The sequence below is a fragment of the Homo sapiens genome, chromosome 4 (assembly GCF_000001405.40).
Source record: "Homo sapiens chromosome 4, GRCh38.p14 Primary Assembly".
Lineage (NCBI taxonomy): Eukaryota > Metazoa > Chordata > Mammalia > Primates > Hominidae > Homo > Homo sapiens.
The window spans coordinates 129,308,083-129,315,686 of NC_000004.12; the positions used below are offsets into that span (position 1 = coordinate 129,308,083).

The window sequence follows — 7,604 nt, forward strand, 5'->3', positions numbered from 1 at the left end:
TGATTCTCAATCTTGGTGCTTGTTTGCTTGTCTCTTTAGTGATATTTTTGAGCTCATATTTGGTTGAAATTCATCTGTGGGAATCCTGAAGGTCTATTTGGGAATTCTTTTACCTTAGAAGATTTGTATTTGCTTTTAGCAGAACCAGGCTGTCAAATCAACCTGAGACCAGGGCTGGGACAAGAGTTAAGCAGGAGAGGTTGTCTAGGTGCAGAATTTAAGGAGGCACTCACTCCCAAGGTCATGCAAGTATGCCTTCTTAAATTTGCACTTTACTACCTCTCTTGCCTCACCCTAGTTCTGGCCCCATCAGAGACTACTTTAATTCATTTTGAAGTTCTTAATTTACTATGGGGTTCAGGTTCATCTTGCCTGTAATGCCAATGGTCCTGAGGCTCAGTCTCCTGGGACTTCTTTAATCCCCTTCTAGGTTTCCTGGCTTAATGTAGGAGTATCAAGTTCAGTTCTCCTCACATGCAAGGACCCCAAAGCTGTTTTCTGATGTCAGTAGGAATCTACATTCTTGGGCAACTTGGTTTTCAGATTTTAATATCTCATCATCATTCTTATTCAGCTTTTTGTTCTTTGTTTTAGATTCTCCTTGTTTTATCATAAACCATCAATGCCATAAAGATATGTTATTTATCCAGGATTTAATTTTACTATAGTAGGAGAAGCTTCCAAAATATGTAGCCTATGGTATATTTGGAAGAGTGATACTTAATTTCTTTAATGACATTTATTTTCATGTTGCATTTGACTAGAAAAATATAGCTTACAATCTTTAAAGCAGAATTTTTGTTTCAGGATGATTAGTAGATGAAAAATGTAGACAATAGGCTTAGTAATAAGTAATTGCCAAGATGATTGGTTTGACCTTAAATAGTAGAAAAAATTTTATTTAGACTCCTTCATTGGTTCTGATCAAAATAGTACTGCCAAGTGCTTGGTGATTTTCTTCCACGATTGTGATTAAGCCCCTGCTAAGCAGGTGAGCTGACCATGCTCACAGAATGCTGATTTGCTTTCTTAAAGGACTCTGCTTACAAGAAAGCCTTCTGCATGTGGTATATGCTCTGAAGCCAAGAAAAATGAAATGTGAAGCTTTGCAAGTTGGAACAGAATTACAATTTCACACTAAACCTATGGTGAACAAATACTCTCATTATTAAATGTTCTACTTCAGTGATAATAGGAATGAGAAACAGTTGATTTAATTAAAAAACTGAAGCCTTTTTGTTGAAATATATAAACTTTGTTAGAGAATAACAGGAAGAAGAAAATTAAAATGGTCTTTTATCATTTAAAGGCCAAAAGCAGAATCAATTGGCCTGAGTTTTAGTTCCATCTAATAACAACATAGGCTTCTTGACCACATTGTTCTTTCCTGTATAAAGAGGCATTGGACCACCAGCTGGGGAGGCTATGTGCCTCCTGTTTCACAGATGTCATGAAGCAGTGTTCATAGCCAGAGACAGGCCTGGGCTGGAATAAAAGTTCTGCCGCTACTAATTAAGTGAACTTGGATTACTTAGCATAGCTAGCCTTAGCTTTGACATAAGAAAATTGAGATAATAACTGTACATACTTTATTAGGTTGTTTAAGCACTGGAGGGAAATATTGCATGAAAAGTGCTAACAGAGTGGTTGATACATAGCAGATGCTGAATAAATATAGTTAATATTTTTGTTGTTCTTCACCTGGTTGAGGGAATTTATGCCAAGCAAGTTATATGCATGGATCTTTATCCCTTTTGATGTAGTGTTATTGACCTTAAAACTGAATGAGAAAAGATACTTCATAAGTTTTCTTTTTTTTTTTTTTTTTGAGACTGAGTCTCACTGTGTTGCCCAGGCTGGAGTGCAGTGGCATAATCTCAGCTCACTGCAAGCTCCGCCTCCCGGGTTCATGCCATTCTCCTGCCTCAGCCTCCTGAGTAGCTGGGACTACAGGCGCCTGCCACCACACCCGGCTAATTTTTTGTATTTTTTTTTTTTTTTAGTAGAGACAGGGTTTCACCATGTTAGCCAGGATGGTCTCGATCTCTTGACCTCATGATCCGCCTGTCTTGGCCTCCCAAAGTGCTAGGATTACAGGCGTGAGCCACCGTGCCCGGCCGATACTTCATAAGTTTTTCAGGAATAGCTGAAATGTGAATATTTCATTACTGATGTCATATTGCAACCACCCTATTGAGAGGTAATTTCCGTAGGTTAATTCTAGTGGACATTTTTCACCATTACACTTTAGCTAATCAAGTTATCATAATTCAGAAGGAAAATGTAAACATTTGGTTAGCATTGTTTCCTTATATGTATATAGGCAAATGCTGGTTTTAAACAACTGAGAAACCAACTCCATTTTAATCATGTTCCTCATCTTGTTATTTAAGTGAAAAATTACCATACATCTCATTATACTGTGCGGATATGTTGAAGTCCTATTACCAGTGCAATGTGAATGTGGCCTCTTCATTTTCCAGTACCACTCAGTGGCTGGCATAAAGTAACAGGTTTAGCTGAGGCATTTGTGTTCATCTCAGACTTTGTAAAGTTTGAAAGAAACATTTAAGAAAAATGTTCTGACAGGAAAAGGGATAGAACAGTGTTTTGATATCTCTGGAACTTGGACAGAGAGGTTGCTTCTAAAAAGGGTGGGTAAATGCAATATGTATGTGTGTGTGTGTGTGTGTGTGTGTGTGTGTGTGTGTGTGTAGTGTGTGTATCTTAATATACAATCTTATGAAGCTGTTCTTGGAATAATCAGCATGAAGCTATCAGGAGACTTTTGTGATTGCCAGGTAATTTACTTCACTTGTGGGCTAGGGCAAATTGCATTAATTGAGTTGATCACAGGTAATAGTCTCAAGCATCACTACATCATGTGAATAATTACCTCAGGTACACAATACTATAATTAAGACTCTAGCTCTAAATCATACTTACTCAATTCGTTCTTGCCTGCTAAGTGAGACATCTCAAGTGGCTTAAATTTAGCAGCTGACACTGTAGGGTTGTTACTGTAGGGTTAAGGGAAAACATACTGCTGGCCTGTAGAAAGACTGTATAGTCTTAGCTTTTATAATCTTAAAAGATAGTCAGATCAAGCACTTTAGTGAGTACAGAATGTTGCATTAATGGGAGGAGAAACAATGCTGTGAATGAGCGGTCTCTTTAAGCCAAGTCCTAAAAAGCACCAAGAGCTTCCATTTTCACCCCAAATATCTAGTGGATCTTTGACGTTTTCACATACTAGCCCTTATGGTTTCTTTCGGTGATAAAAGAGATCCTGGGCTGGGTCTGGTGGCTCACGCCTGTAATCCCAGCACTTTGGGAGGCCAAGGGCGGGGGCAGATCACCTGAGGTCAGGAGTTCGAGACCAGCCTGGCCAACATGGCGAAACCCCACCTCTGCTAAAAATACAAAAATCAGCCGGGTGTGCGGGCACGTGCCTGTAGTCCCAGCTACCCAGGAGGCAGAGGCCCAGCTACCCAGGATGCCGAGGCAGGAGAGTCACTTGAACCTGGGTGGTGGTGGGGGCACGGAGGTTGCAGTGAGCCGAGATTGTGCCACTTCATTTCAGCCTAGGCGAAAGAGCAAAACTCCGTCTCAAAAAAAAAAAAAAAAATTCCTGGCCAGAGAGGTGTGTTCCCTGATCTTGAGGGTGGGAGTTCTCTAGTCCTCTCTCCACTTCTCTGCCTACAAGTTCCATTCCTCTGCAAACAAGTGGTGGAGTCGACAGTGCCTGGATTTCTACTCCGATGGCCTGGCTTTGCTTCTGGGCTCCTTTCCTGACAAGCTAAGTGATGTGCCTTGCTTCCTTTTGTGAAAAAGGGAATTACTAGGATTATGAAAAAAAAAAAAAAAACAAAGAGATAATTGGGACTAATTTGAGGACAGTATAAAATAATGAATATATAATGTCCTGTACACATAATATTTTAAAATACCAGGGAAGGTGGTGTGAACCCATAGTCCCAGCTACTCAGGAGGCTGAGGTGGAAGGATCACTTGTGCCCAGGAGTTTGAAGCCAGCCTGGGGAACATAGTGAGACTCCATCTCTAATTTAAAAATACTGTTACTATTTTATCTCTGTCTAATTAATCTACTTTCCTGTCCACCCCGATGCCATTTTTCCCTTCATTTGGCCCTGCTGCCATAGACCTGCCTCTCTGCTGCATCCCAGGCCCTAGTTGTTCTCTTTGATCTGACTGATTCTCCTCTGACCCCATGCTTACTGGCTGGCCTGTAGTTTCTTACTCTGCAAAGGTCATTCGACAATTCATATAAGTCTTTTTATGCCCTTATTTATCTCTGGCCTTGCCAAAGTTTGTTACTTTTTTTTTTTTTCAGGCCCCAGCTGTTGTAATATCCTCCCAACTGGATCCTAGGTCCTGTCTCCTAGGCGATAATTTTTGGGTGCCTTTTAATGATGTTAACTTCTTTGTTAGCCTACTGAGAAAAATCACTCTCTCCAAGGGCTTCCCTCTAGAACTGTATTTCTTAAACGGACCACCTGTACCAGAATCACCTGGGGACTAACAAAAGTGCAGACCTCTGTGTCCTACCCAGATTGACTGCATCAGATTCTTCTTAGGGGCTAAAGTCCACCTGTCTTTTGAAAAAACATTTTGGAGATGCTTGGGCACACCGAAGAGTTTTCCTACCAATTCTTCTCTTATCCAGATCCTCAGTGCTTGCCCTCTGTAACAGTAACAGCAATGATAACAATCATTAACAACACACATCAATGGCTCACTATATGCCAAGAACTACTCTAAATGCCTTTACATTTATTATTTCATTCTTAAAACAAATGTATGAGGTAAGTATGTATGCTGATTACCATTTTTTCAGATTAGTAAACTGCAGCAATACTACCAGTAAGTATAAAAACTGGGATTCAGTTTCTGGTTTAATGTCAGATGCTTTTTTTTTTTTTGGAGATAGGGTCTTTCTTCGTGCCCCAGGCTGGGGTGCATTGGCACCATTACAGTTCACTGTATCCTTGACCTCCTGGGCTCAAGTGATCCTCCTACCTCAGCCTCCTGAGTAGCTGGGATTTTAGGTGTGCACCACCATACCTGGCTAATTTTTTAATAAATTTTTTTTGTAGAAAGAGTCTCACCATTTTACCCAGGCTGGTCTTGAGCTTCTGGTTTCAAGTGATCTTCCCACCTTGGCCTCCCAAGATGCTGGGATTACAGGCATGAGCCATCTTGCCTGGTCCAGATGCTATATTTTGAATTACTGTACTACAACTGTCTCTGTACTTGGAACTTGAATTTGCTTCTTATCTGTGGACTTCTTGGCTTTGATATTGGCCTGGCTTATTCCACGTGCCTATTTGCTGACTTCCATGATAGTACCCTCTTCCTGCCCAGAATCCTGTTCTTCATCAGCCCTCCTAATTGGGCTTCTCTCTCTTAGATGTTTTTGCTTCTTCTTTGTTTAGGTATAACTCAGGTCCTTGGTAAGATCACTTCATCCTTTGGGATTTAAATAAAATTAGCGTAAACACTGTAACTCTTATAATGTGGAAAGGTCAACTGAAGCCTCTACCAATATATCTGTGAATTAAATGAGGCTTATGTTCTTATGGTCATATGTTCCTGAGGACTCTCAAATTCATTTGTGCCATCTTCTGCAGTGGTTCTATTGGCCCTAAGCTAATCCATCCATGGAACCTAGTCCCTTTTCCTTGATTTCCCGAAATACTTTTCTTGGAATGCATTGCGTGTGTCTATGTGTGTGTGTAGAAATTTTATGAATTTGAATTGGTAAAAAGAATTACATGGAATTAAGTTAAAAGATGTTAGACTTCCTGTTCCTTTCTAAAAGAGTTCATTTTCTTGCCAAAAGGGATTTTCCAGTTGCTAAATTTTTCTGCAGGCCATCATGTTGACTGTGTCCCTGAGTCCTGTTCTTTGCTTCATTTTTCCCTTCTCTACCCTTCTTCATTCTAGAATTCTAAGGGGCGTCACAAGGCTTAATTGGAGGATTGGTGTTAGGAACAATGAGGGTTATATGAATACCAATTTCACTGTCAGATCCGGTGGCCAAGAAGTCATCATTGAAAAGGATGGATTTATTAAGATTCATTTCAATAGAAGTATCACTTCTCAGTGACCCAGTTCAGCTATTCTATTGTTCTTAATGTAACATTTAAGTGTACATGCTTTTATCCAACACTAAATATGTATTCTGGGACCCCTCTCTGGTGCTGTCCTCTCCACATGGGGGTAAATATTTGTGGGGAGGAGGCCTTAGGAGATGATGTGAAGGCAAGTGGGATGGACTTGGCATCACTCCTACTAAGATGGAAGATAGGTGAGGTCATTTGGATCAAAATGCCTACTCATGAACAGTCTGCTAGCATAGGACCTGGGTATAGCTACTGCCATTCTTCTCATCTCTTCAGCTAATAAGGATGGATCTAGCATATATAGTGGGATGTCTCCATTTCCTCATTTTTCATAAACTCTTTAACTGACTCCATTGCAGCATCTACTTCCAATAAAACCACTAACACTATTCTCATTAAGGTCACAAGTGATGTTCGTAACATTATTTCCAATGGAAAATTATTTGTCCTCTTTGTTTTAAGCCTTGTAGCAATTATTGGTATAGTTACTCTCTCCTTTTTGTTTTTGCTTTTTAAATTTTTAACAGCCTCATAAAGCAAATTCACCTATTTTAAATGTATATATTGTTGGGTTTTGGTAAATGTATGCAGCCATCGAGGCGTTACTACAATTCAGTTTAAGACTGACTGTATCATCCCCAAATGTTCCCTTATGCTCCTTAGGTACTCAACTGTCCCCAGGAAATCAGCAATCTGCTTTCTGTCATGACTTTTGACATTTAAGAAATTTCATATAAATAATGAATCATATAGTATGTACAAATTTGTCTGGTCCCTTTCACTTAGCATGATATTTTGAAATTCACTCATATGGTTGCATGTGTCAGCTGTTCATTCTTTTTTAGTGCTGAGTAATGGTCCATTGTTTGGATACATCATATTTTGTTTATCTACTTGTTGAACATTTGTATTATTTTCAGTCTTTGGTTATGCTGAATAACTCTGCTATAAACATTCACATAAAAGTTGTGTGAACATAGTTTTTCATTTCTCTTGAGTAGATATTTAGAAGAATCATGTGATTCATGTTCAATTTTGTAAGCAACTGCCAAACTGATTTAAAAAGTGTCTGTACTGCAAAAGAAACTATCAGAGTGAACAGGCAACCTACAGAATGGGAGAAAATTTTTGCAATCTGCCTATCTGAAAAAGGTCTAATATCCAGAATTTACAAGGAACTAAAACAAATTTACAAAAAAAACCCAACCCCATCAAAAAGTGAGCAAAGGATATGAGCAGACACTTCTCAAAAGAAGACATTTATGCGGCCAACAAACATGAACAAAAGCTCAACATCACTGATTGTCAGAGAAATGCAAATCAAAACCACAGTGAGATACCATCTCACACCAGTCGGAATGGTGATTATTAAAAAGTCAGGAAACAACAGATGCTGGCGAGTCTGTGGAGAAATAGGAACACTTTTACACTGTTGGTGGGAATGTCAATTAGTCCAAC

General features: G+C 39.4%; 1 long non-coding RNA gene across 1 annotated transcript; it reads right to left on the bottom strand.

Moving 5' to 3' along the window:
* Window positions 1–2,946: 2,946 nt before the first annotated feature.
* LOC105377416 (uncharacterized) lies at window positions 2,947–5,273 on the bottom strand. The gene is made up of 3 exons (XR_939190.2): window positions 5,130–5,273; window positions 4,570–4,705; window positions 2,947–3,020 (listed from the first exon to the last, which is right to left on the bottom strand). It is a non-coding gene; the product is annotated as an uncharacterized LOC105377416 (long non-coding RNA).
* Between the last annotated feature and the right edge of the window lie 2,331 nt (window positions 5,274–7,604).